Below are 23470 nucleotides of genomic sequence, written 5' to 3'. Positions count from 1 at the left end.
CCTGTCCACCATCGCTCCACCTTTCTCCATCACTCCTTACCTGACCTACCCCAACACAGGTGGCCAGAGGCAGGAGGGCTCCCCAACAGCTCCTACAGGTGTTCCCTGCAGCTTCCAGCCAATTCTCACAGAGCGACAGCTGTTCTTCTGGCCTTTGCTTGGGGTCTGAGCCCAAGCACATGTATCCACATGTGCGAGTTCAGGCTGAGCTCCCACGGTGGGCAGCACCTTTTGTGTGTGTGCCTGTGCATGTGTGCACACATATGTGTGAACTGTGCAGGCTGTAATTTCCAAAACCAAATTTGGCTTTTTTTGATTTGTAAGTTATTTACATCAACGAATTTTAAAGAAGCATAAAATGAAATTAAGTTAAAGTTTTAGTGGATCACCTCTGAAAAAGAAAAACTTTCATTCTGTGAAATTGGATTTCTAGAAAATTCCAGGATTCCCCACAGTTAAAGGCACAAGGCAGGGACAAATTCTGGCCATGTCACATGCAGGGGGCATGGGTAGTAAGAGTGGGAAATGGGGTTCGGGGCTCAGTTCCCCAGCACCTTGCTCTTCCTTTTTCTGACTCTCCTGGTTTGTCTTTTCTGGTGTCTGTGAGCCCCTCAAGGGCAGAGGCCATTTCTCATTCATCCTAGCATCCAGTACCCAGGGCCCAGCCTGTCATGAGGAGGTGCCCAGCAATCTGAGCGTATTTAAGACTGGGTCCTGATTCTGTCTTTTGTCCCCTCCTTGGGTTCCCAAACTCTCTGTATTCTGCTCCTTCACATTTAAATTGACCCCCAAACAGGATCTCCCAGCCTCCTTGGAGATGTGGGCTTCATGCAGGGATGACAGAGGCTGGGGTCTGGAGCCTTCCCCCAGTGCCACCGAGCTGGAGCCTGCTGAGTTTGCAAGTCATCACGGAGAATCCTCGGATCCTTCGGAGATACCACCCCTGGGCCTACTCTGGGTTCTGAGATGGCAGCCCTAGTGCCAACCTCATCCAGAAGTCATCACTCCCTGGGGGACTGTGAGGGTGTCATCGAATATCTGCCAATCTGCTGACAAGTAGACATCCCAATGGCCATGGAGAAAACATCCGTGCAAGGGCTTTGATCCTCCGAGGCTCCATGAGAACACTGCTATTATAATAGTTACTAAGCCTAATAAAAAGTATAATGATAGAATATATATCACGATGTTGACCCAAAATGGCAATGTTTAGTTCTTAGGGAATTCAAAGTACACAAAGTCCTTGAGAAGGACACAGCTCTCAAAGAGACTCAGGTCACCTCCCTGCAGTCGTCACCCTCCCCGGTAGCCAGTGCAGGCACAAGGATCTGCCACTCCCTGCTTAAACCCTACCCCCTTCCAGAGCTCCCCATTCCCTGTGGGAAGTCACAGGAACACCCAATCCTTGTGAGCCAGACCTTGGCCCAGACTCTCGCCAGTCACCAGCCAGCTGGCTGCTGCTGTTCCGGTGCCCTTCCTCATGCTGTTCCCAGCGGACTCTCCCCACAGGCTGCCCTTCATCCTCCAGAGCTCCACCAGGGTGATCGTAGACCAGAAGGGTCCAGGTGCTTGACCAGCAATCATTCTAGTAACTTTTGGGAGGTCACACTTTCTAGGAGGCCTCTAGTAAGTCCCTCCCCTCCACTTCCAGCTGGGGCCGGTGACCCCTCACCCTAAGACGTGAGGCCTCTAGATCTGTCTTATTCTGCTCCCAGCCTTCCAGGTTCTGGAGAGCAGGAGGCCCTGGCCCAGGAACAGGCACCCAGCAGATGCTCAGCAGCCATGTGTGCAACAGAACTAAATCTTCCAGCTTTGGCTGAAAGCAAACATCATGGCTGTCTCAGCAGGCACGTGCTCCCAGGGTTGTGTCCTTCCTGGAAGATCTCAGCTTCTCCCACATCTGTGTCTCCTGAATCCACACCAAAGGAGCCTCGTTCAGAAGGGACCCCAGGACAGGGCACGGACACCTGTAATCCCAGCACTTTGAGTGGCCAAGGCAGGCAGATGGTTGAGCCCAGGAGTTTGAGACTAGCCTGGGCAACATGGCCAAATCTGTCTCCACAAAAAACGAAAAATTAGCAAGGTGGGTGGTGCACACCTGTAGTCCCAACTACTTGGGAGGCTGAGGTGGGAGGATCGCTTGAGCCTCACAGGCCAAGGCTGCAGTGAGCTATGATCTAGCCACTGCACACCAGCCGCTGCAACAGAGTGAGACCCTGTCTGAAAAAATAAATAAATAAAAAATAAAAGGAAGGAGCCCTGGGTTTGATTCGGGCCTCACGATGTGCCCTCTCACTGCACGAAAGTGGCCCAGGGGCACACTCTGCCCCTCTCTAGGAGGTGGTAGTGACCTGGGAGGGCCTTGGAGCGGATCTTTGTGTCCCTCAGTACATGGAGAAGTAAACTGAGGCACAGAGAGACGGGCATGTGTCCCAGATGGTGGGAGCCAGTGCTCGCTGGGGCAGCCCCTCCTTGGACCCAGCGGCAGAATTTCAGCAGCAGGTGGGGCCAAATAATCGGGTCCAGGGTGAGAGAAACACCTGTGTAAATTTGTCTTATAGGGCCCTGGAGAGGAAGGGTAGGAGCTGGGGCAGGTCAAGGTGCCCCTGGAAGCTTCTAGAGACCTGGATACACACCAGACAGCAGCGGCTGATGAAGGAAACAGGTGGGCTTTTAACAAAGTGTGGACAGTCACGATTCTTTCCCTGTAGCCCTGGGACCCCAATGTCCTTAGCCACGGTCCCTCAGCTGCCCCGGGAGCCGCCAGCATGAGCCGGTGTCCCGTTTTAGCGCAGGCGTGCCCTGGGACACTGCGGGCGCCCAGTGACCCGACTGAGCAAAAAGGGGCTTCAAGTGGAAGCCCCTCTTCCAGGCACCTCCGTGTCACTCCTGCGCCTGCATAGGGTGCCTTCCCGGTAAGATCCTGAGAGCTTGCACGGGCCGGTCCGGGCTCCCGGCTCTGCCCACCTGATGTCACTCGAGGACTGCCCCTCCCGGCCTTCGCGCGGAGCGCGGGCGCCACCCAGTGGTGCATTCGAGTAACCGAACCCAGCTCTCAGCCAGATCCCCGCCTCCAGCGGGCTCCCCAGTTATTTTCTCTTAAAAAGGGCCTTAACTCTATGTTGAATAGGAGTGGTGAGAGAGGGCATCCCTGTCTTGTGCCAGTTTTCAAAGGGAATGCTTCCAGTTTTTGCCCATTCAGTATGATATTGGCTGTGGGTTTGTCATAGATAGCTCTTATTATTTTGAGATACGTCCCATCAATACCTAATTTATTGAGCGTTTTTAGCATGAAGGGATGTTGAATTTTGTCAAAGGCCTTTTCTGCATCTATTGAGATAATCATATCTCAATATGGTTTTTGTCTTTGGTTCTGTTTGTATGCTGGATTACATTTATTGATTTGCGTATACTGAACCAGCCTTGCTTCCCAGGGACGAAGCCCACTTGATCATGGTGGATAAGCTTTTTGATGTACTGCTGGATTCGGTTTGCCAGTATTTTATTGAGGATTTTTGCATCAATGTTCATCAAGGATATTGGTCTAAAATTCTCTTTTTTGGTTGTGTCTCTGCCCGCCTTTGGTATCAGGATGATGCTGGCCTCATAAAATGAGTTAGAGAGGATTCCCTCTTTTTCTATTGATTGGAATAGTTTCAGAAGGAATGGTACCAGTTCCTCTTTGTACCTCTGGTAGAATTCGGCTGTGAATCTGTCTGGTCCTGGACTCTTTTTGGTTGGTAAGCTATTGATTATTGCCTCAATTTCAGAGCCTGTTATTGGTCTATTCAGAGATTCAACTTCTTCCTGGTTTAGTCTTGGGAGGGTGTATGTGTCGAGGAATTTATCCATTTCTTCTAGATTTTCTAGTTTATTTGCGTAGAGGTGTTTGTAGTATTCTCTTATGGTAGTTTGTATTTCTGTGGGATCAGTGGTGATGTCCCCTTTATCATTTTTTATTGCATCTATTTGATTCTTCTCTCTTTTCTTCTTTATTAGTCTTGCTAGTGGTCTATCAATTTTGTTGATCCTTTCAAAAAACCAGCTCCTGGATTCATTAATTTTTTGAAGGGTTGTGTCTCTATTTCCTTCAGTTCTGCTCTGATTTTAGTTATTTCTTGCCTTCTGCTAGCTTTTGAATGTGTTTGCTCTTGCTTTTCTAGTTCTTTTAATTGTGAAGTTAGGGTGTCAATTTTGGATCTTTCCTGCTTTCTCTTGTGGGCATTTAGTGCTATAAATTTCCCTCTACACACTGCTTTGAATGTGTCCCAGAGATTCTGGTATGTTGTGTCTTTGTTCTCATTGGTTTCAAAGAACATCTTTATTTCTGCCTTCATTTCGTTACTTACCCAGTAGTCATTCAGGAGCAGGTTGTTCAGTTGCCATGTAGTTGAGCGGTTTTGAGTGAGATTCTTAATCCTGAGTTCTAGTTTGATTGCACTGTGGTCTGAGAGACAGTTTGTTATAATTTCTGTTCTTTTACATTTGCTGAGGAGAGCTTTACTTCCAACTATGTGGTCAATTTTGGAATAGGTGTGGTGTGGTGCTGAAAAAAATGTATATTCTGTTGATTTGGGGTGGAGAGTTCTGTAGATGTCTATTAGGTCCACTTGGTGCAGAGCTGAGTTCAATTCCTGGGTATCCTTGTGAACTTTCTGTCTCATTGATCTGTCTAATGTTGACAGTGGGGTGTTAAAGTCTCCCATTATTATTGTGTGGGAGGCTAAGTCTCTTTGTAGGCCACTCAGGACTTGCTTTATGAATCTGGGTGGAAGTTCTGGCCAGGGAAATTAGGCAGGAGAAGGAAATAAAGGGTATTCAATTAGGAAAAGAGGAAGTCAAGTTGTCCCTGTTTGCAGATGACATGATTGTATATCTAGAAAACCCCATTGTCTCAGTCCAAAATCTCCTTAAGCTGATAAGCAACTTCAGCAAAGTCTCAGGATACAAAATCAATGTACAAAAATCACAAGCATTCTTATACACCAATAACAGACAAACAGAGAGCCAAATCATGAGTAAACTCCCATTCACAATTGCTTCAAAGAGAATAAAATACCTAGGAATCCAACTTACAAGGGACGTGAAGGACCTCTTCAAGGAGAACTACAAACCACTGCTCAGTGAAATAAAAGAGGATACAAACAAATGGAAGAACATTCCATGCTCATGGGTAGGAAGAATCAATATTGTGAAAATTTATAGATTCAATGCCATCCCCATCAAGCTACCAATGACTTTCTTCACAGAATTGGAAAAAACTACTTTAAAGTTCATATGGAACCAAAAAAGAGCCCGCATCGCCAAGTCAATCCTAAGCCAAAAGAACAAAGCTGGAGGCATCATGCTACGTGACTTCAAACTATACTACAAGGCTACAGTAACCAAAACAGCATGGTACTGGTACCAAAACAGAGATATAGATCAATGGAATAGAACAGAGCCCTCAGAAATAACGCCACATATCTACAACTATCTGATCTTTGACAAACCTGAGAAAAACAAGCAATGGGGAAAGGATTCCCTATTTAATAAATGGTGCTGGGAAAACTGGCTAGCCATATGTAGAAAGCTGAAACTGGATCCCTTCCTTACACCTTATACAAAAATTAATTCAAGATGGTTTAAAGACTTAAATGTTAGACCTAAAACCATAAAAACCCTAGAAGATAACCTAGGCATTACCATTCAGGACATAGGCATGGGCAAGGACTTCATGTCTAAAACACCAAAAGCAATGGCAACAAAAGCCAAAATTGACAAATGGGATCTAATTAAACTAAAGAGCTTCTGCACAGCAAAAGAAACTACCATCAGAGTGAACAGGCGACCTACAAAATGGGAGAAAATTTTCGCAACCTACTCATCTGACAAAGGGCTAATATCCAGAATCTACAGTGAACTCAAACAAATTTACAAGAAAAAAACAAACAACCCCATCAAAAAGTGGGCAAAGGACATGAACAGACACTTCTCAAAAGAAGACATTTATGCAGCCAAAAGACACATGAAAAAATGCTCACCATCACTGGCCATCAGAGAAATGCAAATCAAAACCACAATGAGATATCATCTCACACCAGTTAGAATGGCAATCATTAAAAAGTCAGGAAACAACAGGTGCTGGAGAGGATGTGGAGAAATAGGAACACTTTTACACTGTTGGTGGGACTGTAAACTAGTTCAACCATTGTGGAAGTCAGTGTGGTGATTCCTCAGGGATCTAGAACTAGAAATACCATTTGACCCAGCCATCCCATTACTGAGTATATACCCAAAGGACTATAAATCATGCTGCTATAAAGACACATGCACACGTATGTTTATTGCAGCTCTATTCACAATAGCAAAGACTTGGAACCAATCCAAATGTCCAACAATGATAGACTGGATTAAGAAAATGTGGCATGTATACACCATGGAATACTATGCAACCATGAAAAATGATGAGTTCATGTCCTTTGTAGGGACATGGATGAAATTGGAAATCATCATTCTCAGTAAACTATCACAAGAACAAAAAACCAAACACTGCATATTCTCACTCATAGGTGGGAACTGAACAATGAGAACACATGGACACAGGAAGGGGAACATCACACTCTGGGGACTGTTGTGGGGTGGGGGAAGGGGGAGGGATTGCATTAGGAGATATACCTAATGCTAAATGAGGAGTTAATGGGTGCAGCACACCAGCATGGCACATGTATACATATGTAACTAACCTGCACATTGTGCACATGTACCCTAAAACTTAAAGTACAATAATAATAAAATTTAAAAAAAGGGCCTTAACTCTGCAGTGAGTAATAGCTCCACGATCTTAATGTAAAAGCGGCAGGATTGTTTCCTCTCATGGCTGAGGGAATGTCACCGGGTAGGTTCCTGCCAGGTGTGATGATGCAAATCAGTAATGATCCTTCATAGGCTTTCAAACCTACTTCAGGCACACTTGCACATGTACCTCTCACCTGCACCTTGGCATAACCTTACCGTCTTGGACAGCTTGGGCCATCATAACAAAACACCAGATGACTTAAACAACAACATTTTATTTCTCACAGTTCTGCAGGCTAGAAGTCCAGGATCAAAGTGCCAGGGGATTCCATTCCTGGTGAGGGCTCTGTCCCTGGCTTGCAGGTGGCAGCCTTGTCACTGTGTCCTCACATGGCAGAGAGTGCGAGTTCTCTTCCTTTTCTTTTAAGGACACTGGCCCTATTGAATGAGGGTCCCATCATTATGACCTCACTTAAACTTAATTGTCTCCTAAAAACTCTGTCTCCAAATACAGTTGCATTGGGGGTTAGGGCTTCAACATATGAATTTGGGGGCTGGCGGCGGGGACACAATTCGGTCCATAACCCCCACCTTGACATAACTACAACTTAACATGATGGCGCCTTGACATAACTACCTCTTGCCATATCTAAACCTTGAAGTGAATGCACCTTGATGTTGCTACACCTTGTTGTAATTACACCTAACCTAACTGCACCTTGACTTAACCTAACCTTGGAATAACCCCTTGACAGGATGGCATTAGCCACCCTGATGTAACTACACCTTGACATACGGTGTAGGAATCCTTACGCATCCCAATTTATGAACAAAGATTTGAGTCTTTCAGCAGTGGCATGACTTTCCTGAGTTGGCAAAGCCAGAAAGAAGCAGAAGGGGCCTCCTTCATGTTCTCCTTCCTGCTTCCCTGATCTCTAAATTTGGAGCCTGGGTCAGGTAGCTTGTGGGAGTTGACCCTGAGAGAGTCATTCCCCATGCTCCCTTCTTCCTAAAAGTGACAGCATGTTTCTGAGATGTAAATCCTGTCTCCTTCCTACTGCTGTTCTCAATGCTTCACTTCTGATACCAGAAGTGCGGGCATTTTCCCCACACCAACCACTTCTCCAATTCTTGGAACACCAATTAGGTGTCCTATAATTTAACTCAGTTCTGATACTATCTACCTGGAGTTAGCATCAGATCCCACACATTACAGGCTCAGTCCCACAAGACCACTCCCATTTCAGATGCCAAATTCTAGTCCAGGTTGGCACCTGTGCTTCTGACCAACTATAAACTTGAGGTTTCCACAACCCCCTCTTTATACTGGATAGTTTGCTAGAATGGCCCAGAGAACTCATGGGAACAGTTTAGTTATAAATGATACAACTCAGGGATGCAAAGACATAAGAATGACGGGTGCATCAAAATCTCAGAACTCACCGCTATAGCACTTGTCCACGCATCCAAATGCTGCCTGCTCCCCCTAGACTACTGACATAATAATAATAAAAAGGATAAAACTCAGGGACAGCCAGTGGAAGAGATGTATGGAGCCAGGTATGGGGAAGGGGCATGGAGCTTGCATGCCCTCTCCAGACACACCACCTTCCCATCACCTCCACATGTTCACCAACCCGGAAGCTCTCCCAACACCATCACTTTGGAGGTGTTCATCATGTTGGCATTTTTCAATGGAGGCTTCATTTTGTAGGCATGATTGATTAAATCACTGGCCACTGGTGATTAACTCCATCCCCAGCTCCTCTCCCAAACCAGAAGTCGGCAGTCAGTAGGGCTGAGTATTTCAACCGTCTAATCACACAGTTGGTTTCCCTCACAACCAGCACCATCCCGAGGCCACCCAGGAGCCCCCACCCTCCTAGTCATCTCGTTAGTTACAAAAAGCCATATATCACTTTGGAGATCCCAAGGGTTTTAGGAGCTCCATTTCTTATTATATGTCACAATGTCAGTCTTCACATAAGAAGCAAAGGCAGAGGAAGGAGATGCCCTGAGCAGAGCTGCTCCAGCCAGCTCCAGCTTCCTCCAGGGGGAAAGTGAAGACCCCTGCTCCATCTCACTCAAAGGCCACAGTTGCTACTCCTGGCCCCCAAATCCTGCTGCTTCTCCAGTTCAGCTCTGGCATTTTTAAAGCCATTGTTCTAGCAGTTCCCTCAGAACAGGTCCTCACACACAGGTCCTTGGGGCTCTGGGGGCACTTAACACATTTTTATCAGCACTATGAAGAAAGAAAAGAACTTCTACCTGAGGTATGAGAGTCCATTTAAATTATCAGGCCCAGAGAGACAATAAAATGAGATAGTAATCAACCTTGAGCTACGTATTCAGCTCTTGAAACTGCTTGCCAAGGATAAGGAGCCATAAATTAACCTAATAAAGCCACACCAGGCACTAAACCACGCAGTATGGCCTCACAATGTAGAGCCAATCATGAATCAATGTTATTTCTTTCTTTTTTTTTTTTTTTGCGGTGGAGTTTCACTCTTTCACCCAGGCTGGAGTGCAGTGGCGCAATCTTGGCTTACTGCAACCTCTGCCTCCCTGGTTCAAGTGATTCTCCTGCCTCAGCCTCCTGAGTAGCTGGGAAAGGCACCACCACCACGCCCTGCTAATTTTTTGTAGTTTTAGTAGAGACAGGATTTCGGCATGTTGGCCAGGCTGGTCTCAAACTCCTGACCTCAAGTGATCCGCCCGACTCGGCCTCCCAAAGTGCTGGCATTACAGGTGTGAGCCACCGTACTCAGCCTCAAGGTTATTTCTATAAACTAATGAGAATTCCTGATGGATTTATATCGGCCCACTTGTTGTCCCCGCTTTTGCCTTTAAAAAACTTCTTATAACAAAGACCCAATGAAGCTCATTTCCAAGCTTACTTGGGTCTGAGTCTTCCAGGCAGCTGTCCTTACTTTGGCTCAAGTAAACTCTTTATATTTTACGCCTCAAACTCTTCCTTTTAAGTCAACACCTACTAGTGCTGGGCCCAGAGCCAGGGGTGGCCTGGAATCAAGCTGGGCCCTTCGTCAGCTGGCCAGCCTTCCCTACAGCCAAGACATCCTTGGCTGTGCATGATTCATGGCCCTGTAGGGCCACCAAAGCTGGACCGGGTCCTGGCAGTGGCAGGCCAGTCTCTTCCTCTTTGTACAGATGGGAAGCTAGAGTGAAAGAAACTAATTCACCATAGTGCAGGCCAAGGAGAAAAGGAAAGAAGCAGAGAACATCCCTTTTCCCCTGAGATGTAGACCGTGGGTTGGGGGTGAGGACTAGGAGGGCTTAAGAGCCAGCCATGTCATCCGTCCCTGTAGCCCGGCTGTGGCTCTTGCAAGTCCCCATTCCTGTGAACAGTGTGAGCAGAGCACTCAGAGCTGAGGTTGGTGGGGTCAGGGGTGGGTGCTGGGCATAGGGAAGGGCAAAGATGATAAAAACATCCAAGAACCAAATTCCTGCTCATGGAATCTCATAGTCTTGTGAGGGAGACCAGCACTGCATGAGTGGGTAACGCAGCACAGCACAGCACAGCACAGCACAGCACGCAACCCGGGTGCAGAGGTGTCCAAGGAGCCAATGATTGATTAACTGCACAGAAGGGCTGGGGGCGTTGAGGAAGACTTTGAGATTAAAAGATAACAAGAGTTTCTCATATAGACAAGAAGAGGGCTTCATGTTCCCAGGGAGAGGGAATAGAATGTCCACCGTGTGCACGGACGCAACAGCAGGGCTGAGCTGGCTGCAGCTGCCATGCTGACACTGGACCATCAGGGCTGGGCGATGCGGGTAGCAAGAGCTGCAGCTGGACATAAGGCAAGGTCATACCTGTCATTAAGGCATGGGAGGTCATTTTCCAAAAGGTTCGAACTTTATCCTGAGGGCAGGGAAGAATTGGGGGCCAGAGATGGGCAGAATCTGACCATGGCTGAGAGACTGGCCCAAGTCTTTGGAGATGCTGCCTGACTCTGGGATGTAGGTTCTGCAGTATCCAGTGGTGAAGGTGTGGGCAGGCTGGGAGGTAGGAGGAAGAAGACCAATTCCAGGTCCATTCTGGAGGTAGAGTCTCTGGATCAGGCCTGAGGGAGGACCATGCTTTGGAGGGAAGGCCCTGGTGGGCCTTTGGAGGAAGCGGAAGGTGGGAAAGAGTACTTCTACCAGGCTGCAGTGCATTCAGCTGCATGTATCGTGAGCTGACCACGGTGGGAAACGGATTTTGTCATCTTGGACTTCTTACAAAGTTCAAGCAAAGAGGTGGCTGGTGTTGGTCGAACAGCTGCCAGCATCTGGGATTCTATTTTTGCCATCTCTTTGGCCATGAAGTCCTTGTCCAAGGCAGGAAGAGGAGGTGGCAGTGTAGTGGATGTGGTGGTATCCTGCCCAGGTCACCTGTTCAAGCCAAGGCATTCCCTACAGCTGCTGGGGAGAGCAGCTGCTACAGATGCCTTCACCCCTGCCTGGGAACTACCTACCGGCTGACGTGAGAGACAAAGGCTCTGCCCACTTTACTCAAGGCAGGGCAGCTGCAGGGCCAACCAGCTCCAGAACTCCCTGCAGTGTCAGCCACAGCCTCAGTTGCAACCTCATTGCCAGCCAGCTTTTCCCACTGCCCCCTCATTTGTCCCAGGTGCATCTTCCAAAAGCCCCCGCAGTAAACTTCCTGCATGCACAGGGCTCTCCGTCTCAGACTTTCTGTCCCCAGAAAGTCAGTCTAAGCCCCGTATCAGGAAAGCAACCCCAGCCCTGGAGCAGACCTTGGCTTCTGTCTCAGTGGCCAGAATTGAGCCCTGGCTGCCAGGGAGCCCAGGCACAGTATAATCTCAGGAGTGTGCTAGCAAAGGAGAAGGCAGGAATGGGTGTCCGGGGCACTGACTGTCACAGAAGTTTCAGACACTTAAAACCACACATTTAATTTATCAAATCACCTGAGAAGACAGAATGCACCGGGACAGTTAATGTTCCTGGGATGATGTTTTGCATGTTCCGATAAGCTGGGTCTGTCCTTTAAAAACTTCTTATGGCTAAAGGTTGAGATGAGGAAGAAAAGGTGGAGAAATACAGAGGTTGGCATTTAAGAAGGCATAATCTAAGTGTTGACTGCCATGTGTTCTGGATGTGAAATCTGGACTGTTTCCTCATCTGTCAGTTGAGGACATGATGCCTCTAAGGAGTCGCCATGACCCAGCAAGGGAGGCCCTTCAGGGGATGGAGATCCTAGATGTGGACTCAGAAACCAGTGTGTTTCCTGGACCCTCCTGGCAGGTAAGTTAGAACAGAAGAGGCATCTACGTGGTGCCTTGACTGACCCCAGGTATTTTGCCACTAATTCCAACATTCCTTCTCTGAGAACACAAACATACATAGGAGATGGAGGGGTTTACAATCCCATTTCATACCTATACACAGAGTCCTGGGCCACTGAATTAGTAAAAGTTCATGGTGATTAAGCCTCTGCACGGGGGTGGTCCAGTATCACCATGGAAACATCACACCCTTCTCCCAGCCCAGGAAGTGATGGAGGGTGATGGGTAGGCACGGTGTCAGGAATCAGGCTTGGACACAGGCACATGCAGCACTGGAGATGACTGATGGAGGGAGAGAGGCTCTGGAGCAAGGGAGTTTATCACCTGCTGGTGTGCCAAGGAGGACCAGATCCAACTGAGTGAATCTAGCAGCACAAATTGGGATCTGAGCTCTGCAGATTTGGGGGAGGAAGTGGCAATGCTCCCTCACAGTCCCTCCCTTTGAACAGGAGCTGGCCTTTGACTCTCAAGTCCAGCATCTAGTTATTACTGAGATGTGCTTCCCTGCAGATTCCTTCTGGGGAGGCAAGTAGGGCTGCCAGTTTCACTGGGGCCAACCCTAGAGATCAGGATATCATTTGTTTTTCAAATTTTAACATTTTATTGTGCTTTTCCCTCTATCTTTTAAAGATCATGGCCCAGTTATTGGCCAAAGCAGAGGCTCTGGCTGTCTTGGGACAAAGCTGCCAGTCAGAGCTGCTTGCTCAGTGTGGGGCATCTGGTGTGGCTGGTGGGACCCTGTGTCTCAAGGTACTGCACCCCAGTGCCCAGCACATGCTGGGGCCTCAGGAGTTGGTTGTGTCTGGGTCTAAGTTTCCCCATAGCCAGCCAGCCCTGAGACAAGATGGGTGCAGGATCCTGGGAAACCCAGGGGAAAAGACGAGTGAAGAACCTGGAAAGGAGAAAGCCTGTGAAGCTCACGCCAGAGCCCACTGTTATGGGAAGTCAGGGACCCCAAATGGAGGGACCAGCTGAAGCCATGGCAGAACGTGGATTGTGAAGATTTCATGGACATTTATTAGTTCCCCAAATTAATACTTTTATAATTTCTTATGCCTGTCTTTACTGCAATCTCTAAACATAAATTGTGAAGATTTCATGGACACTTACCACTTCCCCAATCAACACCCTTGTGATTTCCTATGCCTGTCTTTACTTTAATCTCTTAATCCTGTCATCTCATAAACCGAGGAGGACGTATGTCGCCTCAGGACCGTGTCATAATTTCGTTAACTGCACAAATTGTAGAGCATGTGTGTTTGAACAATATGAAATCTGGGCACCTTGAAAAAAGAACAGGATAACAGCAATGTTTAGGGAACAAGAGAGATAACCTTAAACTCTGACCACTGGTGAGCCAGGCAGAACAGAGCCATATTTCTTTTCTTTCAAAAGCAAATGGGAGAAATATCGCTGAATTCTTTTTCTCAGTAAGGAACATCCCTGGGAAAGAGAATACGCACCTGGGGGGTAGGTCTATAGAAGGCCCCCCTGGGCGTGGCTGTCTTCTATGGTCGAGGCTGTAGGGGTGAAATAGACTCCAGTCTCCCACAGCGCTCCCAGGCTTATTAGGAAGAGGAAATTCCTGCCTAATAAATTTTGGTCAGACCGGTTGCTCTCAAAACCCCGTCTCCTGATAAGATGTTATCAATGACAATGGTGCCCGAAACCTCATTAGCAATTTTAATTTTGCCTCCATCCTGTGGTCCTGTGATCTCGCCCTGCCTCCATTTGCCTTCTGATATTCTATTTACCTTGTGAAGCACGTGATCTCTGTGACCCACACCTATTCGCACACTCCCTCCCCTTTTGAAACTCCCTAATAAAAACTTGCTGGTTTTACGGCTTGTGGGGCATCACGGAACCTACTGACATGTGGTGTCTCCCCTGGATGCCCAGCTTTAAAATTTTTCTTTTGTACTCTGTCCCTTTATTTCTCAAGCCAGCCGACACTTAGGAAAAATAGAAAAGAACCTACATGACTATCGGGGCAGGTTCCCTGATAGCCCACTCCTGCTGGGGCCTCTGAGAAGCCTGCCAAGAGCCTCGGGGTGTTCCCTCCAGAAGACAAGAGCCTGGGGAGACCCCTACGCTGAGAGGAGGGCTGCCCCTCAAGGCAGAAAGCAGCACTGCAACAGCTGTGGGTGGATGGACTTTGGGGGTCCAGGCTGAGCCTCTAGTGTCTGCACGTGGGATGGGAGGCCGGTGTTTGTTGAGACTTGGACAAGTCTTGCAGTGTGGCAAGAGACGATGGCCAGTGTGCAGCAGAGAGCCATGCGGGGGTCAGCTCTCCTCCTACTGAGCCCTCTTCACCTCTCCCAGCCCCTACTGGTGCACTCCCATTTTTGCCTAAGCTGTATGAGTTTGGTTTCCGGAACTTGCACCCAAACTGTCCTTACTGAAGTACAAATGACATTATAAACCCGAAGCCCTGGAGACAAATGTGACCTCCCTTCGCTCTTGCTCTAGAAGCAAGGCCGGGTGGGCTGGGATCCCACCCTCAGAGAACTTAGGTTGTGAAATGCTCCAAGGGGTGCTTTTCTTGAAATTACTGACAACACCTAGTACCTGATGGCCAGTTCCAGATGCTAACAAGATGAAGTCGACCAACTGCTCCTTTTTACCAAACAACTTTTATTTGCATGTGGCTACTTAGTAAATAGTAATCAGTGATCATCCTAGACAGCTGCCAGGCAACAAAAGGAGAGACACATAGAAGCTTTTCAAGGTATCAGGTTGCAAAAAAAAAAAAAAAAAAAAAAGTATCAGAGTGATCAGAAAGTGAGCAGTGAGCAGTAGTGAAGCCAGAATTTTCTTTCCCATGACTCCTGTAGTTCTGTCCCTGTCCCCGCAAACCCCAGGAGGGGAAAAATGTAGATACAAAACTGTAAGGCCTCAAACCAGTTAGGACAAGTCCCTTTCTCGTAATAATTTATTTCATTCCCAATGACAGAAGGCACGTGCAGTTACAGGGCTGTGCCCTATTCGTCTGGGTCAACAGAAGAGCACAGCTTTCTTTAGAAAAACATTTACTTTAAAACCAAGCACCTTGATTTGATATTTTAGTGTGCACAACTTTGCCCGTTGAGGTCCTGGTGAGCCCTTGCCCAACCCCGTGGGCACCACCATTCCGCCAGGCCTCGGAGGGCCACCGGGTGCTTAAGAGAATGTGAGGGGGGTGAGTGCAGGTGGCGCAGCGCGGTTCCTGGGACATGGGTCCTTCACTCCTCGCTGAGATGTTGCGGCAGCCTTTTCTTCCAATGCGGTTGTGGCAGGAGAATCCACGGATGTAATGTTTTCACCTTTTTCCCTGAGGGTGCTTTCTGAGGAACCAGTCCTTAAGAGGTGGGGTCTTGGATTCCTGACCCAGGCGTCCGGCAGCTGCTCAGTTTCCGAGATGTCAGACTCATGGAGGAGCAGGCTATGCCCTTCCCTCCCCATTCCCCACCCCTCAAGCCCCAGGTCTTACTGTATAATGATTTATTTTCCCCACACGTCTACCCTCAAAATTGGCTTCATGCAAATTTCCCTTGAATCCTAATGCTGGAGAGGAAAGGGGAGGGGAAGTGGGAGGGTGGTGGGCAGGGTGGCTTGACCCTGTCAGCCTCCCAGGGAACTCGGGACCACGGCTCCCCAGCACAGGCTGAACAAGTACCAGGAACAAGGTCTATGCATCTGCGTTAGATCTGAAGGCCTTGGCAGCACCTCTTCAATTTTAAGAGAATCAGGCCGGGCGCGGTGGCTCACGCCTGTAATCCCAGCACTTTGGGAGGCCGAGGCGGGCGGATCACGAGGTCAGGAGATCGAGACCATCCTGGCTAATACGGTGAAACCCCATCTCTACTAAAAATACAACTAAATTAGCCGGGCACGGTGGTGGGCGCCTGTAGTCCCGGCTACTCGGGAGGCTGAGGCAGGAGAATGGCGGGAACCCGGGAGGCGGAGCCTGCAGTGAGTGGAGATCGCGTCACTGCACTCCAGCCTTGGAGGAAGAGCGAGACTCCGTCTCAAAAAAAACAAAATAAAACAAACAAAAAAAAGATCAGACTGAGTATTCCCCTAGACCTACTCTAGGGAAGCCCATAGCTGAGGCAAAATCCCCAAACAGACTTGGCATTAGTGGGGCTAGGATTCTCCATTAGTGGAGTGAGGGCTTTGATGTGAGTTGTCTAGAAGAGCAAGTTCATGGTCAGATAATTCCAAGAGACAGTTGTTTTCCCAGGAAAAAGAAAAGCTTCCTCCTATTCAGCAGAGTGAATTTAAATGTCCAAACAAAGTGTGGTGTCATCGCTCAGTCTGCAAGGACGTTCTGTTAATCCCGTGGACGTTTTAGTGGATCTTCCGTTTGTCATCCAGATGGCAAACGTTGGAAGCTGCTTTTGGGGACCAATAATTGGAGCTTTCAAAGAGCATTTCCCCCTTGGCCTGGCGCCTGTGCATCAGTGGTAATAGATGCTGAAGGCATGGAGAATGTAGAGCAGCGTGGCGATGAAGGCGAAGAACTGGAAGGAGGTGGAGAGTGACTGTTAGAGACAGCAGCGCCAGCTCCTGCCCACCCCTCAGGTACCCTCAGCCCCACTGCCCAGGAGGCCACGCATGACCCTGCCTCCTCGCCTCCTGCGTGGCCTGAGGGCAGCAACCCCTGGCCAACAACTCCCTCTTCTGGAAACTCTCCATCAGGGCCTCCCTGGGGCCGTCCTGGTGTCCTGCCCCGACTGCAGTCTCCACCTCATCTGCACCTGGCTGTGAAGCAGGCTCACCTCCACCACAGCTCTGGGCCCATATCCCACGCTGACCTCCTGCCCGAGGCCCGCTCTCCTCTGCCCACCTCCAGCAAATCTGTGTTCTGAACACTCCTACAGCTCCCCTCGCTGGCCCAGAACTCTGCCCTGAGCGGCTGCTTATCAGCTCCTCGTGAATGTTCAGACATCCTCCAGCTCTTCCTGGCTCACACTGAGCCCCTGACGTTTCCTCACAAGCCTGACAAGCCCAGTGGGCCCCAGGGTCCTCCTCTCGCCCCACTCCCTGAGCCTGACCCCTGTGGCCCCTGGCTCCTCCTGCCTCCCTTGCCAGCCATATGCAAAGCCACCCCAAAGGCTACTGATTTCCCTGCCTAGCTCTTGGGACATTCATTTTTCCCTTGTCTCAGCCACCGGCATCCCTCGGCAGGACTCCTCATGGCCTCACTTGTCCACTTCTTCCTGCCCTGCCCCTCGAATCTGCTCCACCATTTGGGCAGGGCAGGCAGAAGTGGACAAGTGAGGACACTTCTCACTCATGGGGAGAACACAATCCCGTTGCCCCACGTTGAAGCTGTATGATGGCTCTGCTCTTTTCTCAGGGTAGGGCCGTCACCTTCAATACCTTTCAGGCCCTGCCAAACATCCCAGCCCCACTCTGCCCCACTGTCCACTCACACGCTCCTCATTCAGTCAGTCAGTCAACAAATATCTTTTAAGGACCTGCTTTCCTTCAAGAGCAACTGTGGGTATAACAGTGAAGAAAATATTCAAAAATTCCTGCCCTCATGGAGCTTACATTTGAGAGATAAGAAGCAGATAGCAGCAAGATAGATGAGTAGCACATACATGGGTTAGATGGAGGTAAATGCCACCCACTGTGGAGTGCACTGTGACCCTCTGGGGTGGCCACAAGATATTTCAGCTGCCTTCTGGCCTGTCTGCCTCCCTTCCCTCCTCATCAGGTGAGTTTAACTTCCTAAACTTGCAAGACCAGCAACGGCCCCTGCAATCCTCCATGGCCAGCTGTCCCAGCTACACCACCCTCCTGGCTGCCCTTGAGCACACAGAGGGTCCTTGGCAGGGGTAACTGCCTGGTGGGACCTTAGCAGGGGTAACTGCCTGGTGGCCCCTGCCTCCTTCTGTCCTCTTGACAGGGCCTTCCCTGATGCCTCCTCCCCTGAGACCTCGACATTCCACTTTCCCCTTCCCTGCTTCATCTCTCAATAGTTCAGCCATGCCGAGGGATGCGGGCCCCATTCCAAAGGCAGTGGGTGCCATTGAAGGATTTTCAGTAGGAGAGAGACATCTGTTCCAATTTGTGTTTTGGAAAAAGAAAATTCTGCAGACAGCGTGGGGGGTGTCTAAGAGAGAGGAAAGCTGGAGTGGGAACAATAGAAGGTAAAAGAGGACCCCTGAACGTGGGTGCACATGTTTACAGGGACACACATCCCTATCCCCTGCCCCCATGGCTCCTTCCACTTGAGGGCTCAGGGTCTATACAGCACAAGCAAAGTTAGGCCTCCTGCACGAAACATCCTCCAGGCAAGACTGCTGTCCTTGGCCAGCCCACTCACCGAGGCTGCCGAATTAATGTAGTAAATTCTTGGGTCCAGCAGTTTCTCAGAAACAATCGTGGCATGTACTTGTAGGACGGCAGCGCTCATGTACAGGATGCCAGTGGTCCCGTGGTACAGGCTGTCCTGGAAATGCAGAGCAGAGCCACGCATGGCCACATCAATCAGGTGAACATTTTCCTCTCTGGCTACATAGCAGTAAAGAATGAGCAAATGAGGCAGGCCAGCCCCCTAGAGTCCTGCCTTTTTTTTTTTTTTTTGCAGTGTGATTTGGTTTGGCTCTGTGTCCCTGCCCAAATCTCATCTCGAATTGTAATCCCCACATGTTGGGGGAGGGACCTGGTGGGAGATGACTGGATTATGGGGGCAGTTTCCCCATGCTGTTCTCGTGATAGTGAGGGAGTTCTCATAAGATCTGATGGTTTAAAAGTGTGACACTTCCCTCTCTCACTCCTGCTGCCATGTAAGGTGTGCCTTGCTTCCCCTTCGCCTTCCACCATGATTGTAAGATTCCTGAGACCTCCCTAGCCATGCAGAACTGTGAGCCAATTAAACCTCTTTTCCTTATAAATTACCCAGCCTCAGGTAGTTCTTTACAGCAGTGTGAGAACAGACTAATACAGAAAATTGGTACCAGGAGTCAGGCACTGCTATAAAGATACCTGAAAATGTGGAAGCAACTTTGGAACTGGATAATGGGCAAAGGTTGGAACAGTTTGGGGTACCCAGAAGAAGACAGGAAGATGTAGGAAAGTTTGGAACTTTCTAGAGACTTGTTGAATGATTCTGACCAAAATGCTGATGGTGATATGGACAATGAAATCCAGGCTGAGGTGGTCTCAGATGGAGATGAGGAACTTATTGGGAACTGGAATAAAGGTCACTCTTGCTATGCTTTAGCAAAGAGACTGGTGGCATTTTACCCCTGTCCTAGAGATCTGTGGCACTCTGAACTTAAAAGAGATGATTTGGGGTATCTGGCAGAAGAAATTTCTAAGCATTGAAGCATTCAAGATGTGACCTGACTTTTCCTGAAAGTGTACAATCATATGCATTCACAAAGAGATGGTCCAAAATTGGAACTTATGTTTAAAAGGGAAGCAGAACATAAAAGTTTGGAAAATTTGCAGCCTGATCATGTGTTAGAAAAGAAAAACATATTTTCTGGGGAGAAATTCAAGCTGTCAGCTGCAGAAATTTTCATGAGTAATGAGGGTCCCCAAGACAAAGGGGACGATATCTCCAGGGCATTTCAGAGATCTTCACAGTAGCCCCTCCCATCACAGGCTCAGAGACCTAGGAGGGAAAAATGGTTTTGTGGGCCAGGCTCAGGGCCCTGTTGCTCTGCACAGTCCTGGAACACAGCACTCTGCAACCCGGCTGCCCCAGCTCCAGCAGCTGGGGGCCAAGGTACAGCTTGGGCCATTGCTTCAGAGTGTGTAAGCCTCAAGCCTTGGCAGCTTACACATGGTGTTGGACCTACAGGCATGCAGAAGGCAAGAATTGAGGTTTAGGAACCTCTGCCATGATTTCAGAGGATGTATGGAAATGACTGGATGTACAGGCAGAGTCTGCTGCAGGGGTGGAGCCCTTATGAAGAACCTCTACTAGGGCAGTGCAGAAGGGACATGTGGGGTCAGACCCCCCACAGAGAGTCCCCACTGTGACACTGGCTAGTACAGCTGTGAGAAGAGCTGTCCTGTAGACCCCAGAATGGTAGGTTCACTGACAGTTTGCACTGGTCACCTTGAAAAAGCACAGACACTCAATGCCAGTTTGTGAAAGCAGCTGCAGGGGCTGTACTGTGAAGAGCCACAGAGGTGGAGCTGCCCAAGGTCTTGGGTGCCCACCCTTTGTAACAGGGTGACTTGAATCTGAGACATGAAGTCAAAGGAGATTTTGGAATGTCGACATTTAATGGCTGCCCAGCTGGGTTTAGGACTTGCATGGGGCCTGTAGCCCCTTTGTTTTGACCAATTTCTCCCATTTGGAATGGGAGCATTTACCCAATGCCTGTACCCTTATTGTGTCTTGGAAGTAACTAACTTGCTTTTTGATTTTACAGGCTCATAGGCAGAAGAGACTTCTCTTGTCTTAGATGAGACTTTGGACTTAAACTTTTGGGTTAATGCTGGAATAAGTTGAAACTTTGGGGGACTGTTGAGAAGGCATGATTGTATTTTTAAATGTGAGAAGGATGAGATTTGGGAGGGGCCAGTGGTATAATGATATGGTTTGGCTCTTTGTCCCCACCCAAATCTCATCTCCTATTGTAATCCACATGTATCAAGGGAGGGACCTGGTGGGAGGTGATTGGATCATGGGGGCAGTTTCCCCTATGCTGTTCTCATGATAGTGAATGAGTTCTCATGGGATCTGATGGTTTAAAAGTATGGCACTTCCCCCTCCCCCATCTCTCCTGCTGCCATGCAAGGCATGCCTTGCTTAGCCTTCACCTTCCACCATGATTGTAAGTTTCCTGAGGCCTCCCTAACCATGAGGAACTAGTCAATTCAACCTCTTTTCTTTATAATTTACCCAGTCTCTGGTTGTTTATAGCAATGTGAGAATAGACTAATACACAGTGTTTTTAATGTAATATCTATGTCGTAAGCAATGGCAGATTAATAAAGATCAGTATATTTCAGTTACGCAAAGTCAATCTTGGTCTGAAATATTAAATGAAAAATTCCAGAAATTAACAATTAAATGTGTGCCTTTCTGAGTACAATGATGAAATCTTGCACTGTCCCGCCCTGTTCCACCTGGGATGTGAATCAGACATTTGTCTAGCATGTCTACACTGTCTGTGCCACCCATGTTAGTCGCTTTGTACTCATCTGGGCTATCAGATCAACTGTTGTGGCACTGCAGTGCTTGCATTCAAAGAATCCTTATTTTACTTCATAATGGCCCCAAATTGCAAGAGTAGTGATGCTGGCAATTTGGATATGCCAAAGAGAAGTCATAGGGTGCTTTCTTTAAGTTAAAAAGTATAAGTTTTCAGCTTAATAAGGAAAGGAAAAAAATATGCTGAGGTTGTTAAGATCTACAGTAAGAATGAATTGTCTATCTGTGAAATTGTGAAGAAGAAAAAAGAAGTGCATGCATAGCAAATTCGGAGTTCAGTACTCTCTGAGGATTCAGGCATCCCCTAGGGGTCTTGGGACTTATCCTCCGGAGATGGGGGACCACTGTATACTGTCTTAGGTATGCTGAGGAATTGTTTACTTCGTATACATGTGATAATGTGAGAAAGTTTGCGGAGTTTTTTTGGAAACATACTGAAGTGTGTGGAATAGAATGGCATGATGTTTGGTGTTTGCTTTAAAATTCCTTAGTGGGGACAAAGGCTAGATGAAACAAATGTGGTAAGGTCTTGATAATGCTGGAATCTGGGTTATGGCTACATGAGGGCCTATAATACAATATTCTGTACTTTTAAATATGTCTTCAATTGTTCAGTGTGGAACAGTTTTAAATGGTTTTTTGAGATGACGTGATAAATAAAAATTAGTGATGTAATATTAAATGAAAGCATCTACATCCAAAATTATTTGTAGAGTACAATTAAAGTATATATATACATATATATACATATATACATATGTATATACGTATATATGTATATATACTTTGCATATAATTCATGTGGGATATGGAAGAAATACCCTGTCGCAGGGATTGTGTTAGGGCCTTGAGAATGGAGTGATTTTTTTCCTACTAGCTTTTTCTTCAGTGTTGCTCCAAGGATTTTACCAGGAAGAAAATTTAGGGGAAACACATCAGAATATGCTTGATCACAGGTCATTGTGTATTCTCCTAACAGGGAAGCCAGTGAAGGGGAATACCAGGAATTATTTACGCTTGCAGATAAATGTCTTCATTTTAGCGTGGTAGTAAAAATGGTAAGATAAAAAGTCTTGGTTCCATAGGAGCCTAGCCCAGGATCCCTCCCTGCCCAGAAAGGCCAATTGTCCTCACCCAACCCAGAACGTCCACCCAGGAAGAGCCATGCTGCTGGTTCTTACCAGAACTCTCCAGGATTCAAATCTTTTGTAAAATCCAAACAAGTAAGACAACAGGAACATCAAGGAGATGAGAAACGAGGTGAGTGAGACATACATCACCCATCCTTGCAGCAAGGGGTATACTATGTGGGTGGCGGCTACCATGGTCCAGACCAAGAACCCAAATATCTGGAAGATAAAAGCATAAAAGAAGGGGCTTCATTAACTAGTGTGGAGTATGTTTCCCTTTGCAGGGTGTCTCTTTTCTGTCTCTAGTTACAAGTTCAGGTGAAGTTAGGAGGGAACCAAGAGGAAAATGGGGAAGGAAGGCTGGCCCCGCTGAGTCACGGTAAAGTCAGGTCCGATTGTTAGAAAATTCAAGGGGTTAATGCAGAGGTCATGAACAGAGGGACTCTCAGCCAAATCTAGCTTGTGAATGTGTCTTTTGGCTCAAGCAGTATTGGCATATACACTTTTTAAACAATTCTGAATAAGTTCCCAATATTCAAAACAGGATATTTCACATGGAAAATCCAGATTTGGGACATTTCTTTAGAAATCCATGGTTCTGGCCACAGTGTACCCATTTCTCAGGCCAGAGTAGGCTGAAATGAGTAGTGACTATCTCTTTAAAAAGGGCCTGGAGTCCTCAGTGGACCACATCCCCTCACCCCACTAACCTCACACCATGCTGTGGGACATTCCCTGTTGCTCACTGACACTGTGTAATTGTTTACTAATGAGATACAGCTTATTTTTATATATTTGTTAGCCATTAATATTTCCTCCTCTGTAAAGTTTTTTATTTTTTAATCAGTTAAATATTTTAAAATTGATTTTTCTTTTTCTTATTGATTCATAGGAATTCTTGCTAATGGTGTGGATTTCATGGACTGCCATAAACATTGCAAATATATTCTGCTAGCATTCACATATTTTCTGGTTTCCTTTGATTAACTAAGCCCGCAATTTTAATGCAGTTGAATATGTCAATCTTTTCCTCTATTGACTATGTTTTTTATCAAGTTTAAGAAATTCTTCTCACGCACACCAACATG

At 47.6% G+C, this 23470-nt stretch overlaps 1 non-coding gene and 1 pseudogene across 3 annotated transcripts, besides 1 other annotated feature; both read right to left on the bottom strand.

Moving 5' to 3' along the window:
* Positions 1857-2597: an enhancer, noted in NCBI's record as "H3K4me1 hESC enhancer chr2:111057187-111057927 (GRCh37/hg19 assembly coordinates)". NCBI's record gives its function as "activates a minimal SCP1, AML or CMV promoter by ChIP-STARR-seq in naive H9 embryonic stem cells {active_cell/tissue: H9 hESC(naive)}" and the evidence as "EXISTENCE:reporter gene assay evidence [ECO:0000049][PMID:30033119]".
* LOC128966597 (MAL-like protein) lies at positions 14701-22601 on the bottom strand (annotated as a pseudogene). Of its 2 annotated transcripts, NR_189744.1 has the most exons (3): positions 22434-22601; positions 18403-18528; positions 14701-16588 (listed from the first exon to the last, which is right to left on the bottom strand). The product of NR_189744.1 is annotated as an MAL-like protein, transcript variant 4 (transcript). The 2 variants fall into 2 exon arrangements; NR_189745.1 differs by lacking the exon at positions 18403-18528.
* On the bottom strand, positions 17264-17354 carry MIR4436B2 (microRNA 4436b-2). The gene has a single exon (NR_049830.1). It is a non-coding gene; the product is annotated as a microRNA 4436b-2 (primary transcript).
* Positions 22602-23470: the final 869 nt, after the last annotated feature.

The sequence above is a fragment of the Homo sapiens genome, chromosome 2 (assembly GCF_000001405.40).
Source record: "Homo sapiens chromosome 2, GRCh38.p14 Primary Assembly".
Taxonomy (NCBI): domain Eukaryota; kingdom Metazoa; phylum Chordata; class Mammalia; order Primates; family Hominidae; genus Homo; species Homo sapiens.
Note: the sequence above shows the minus strand (reverse complement) of the source record. Positions and strands in the feature narration are given on the sequence as shown.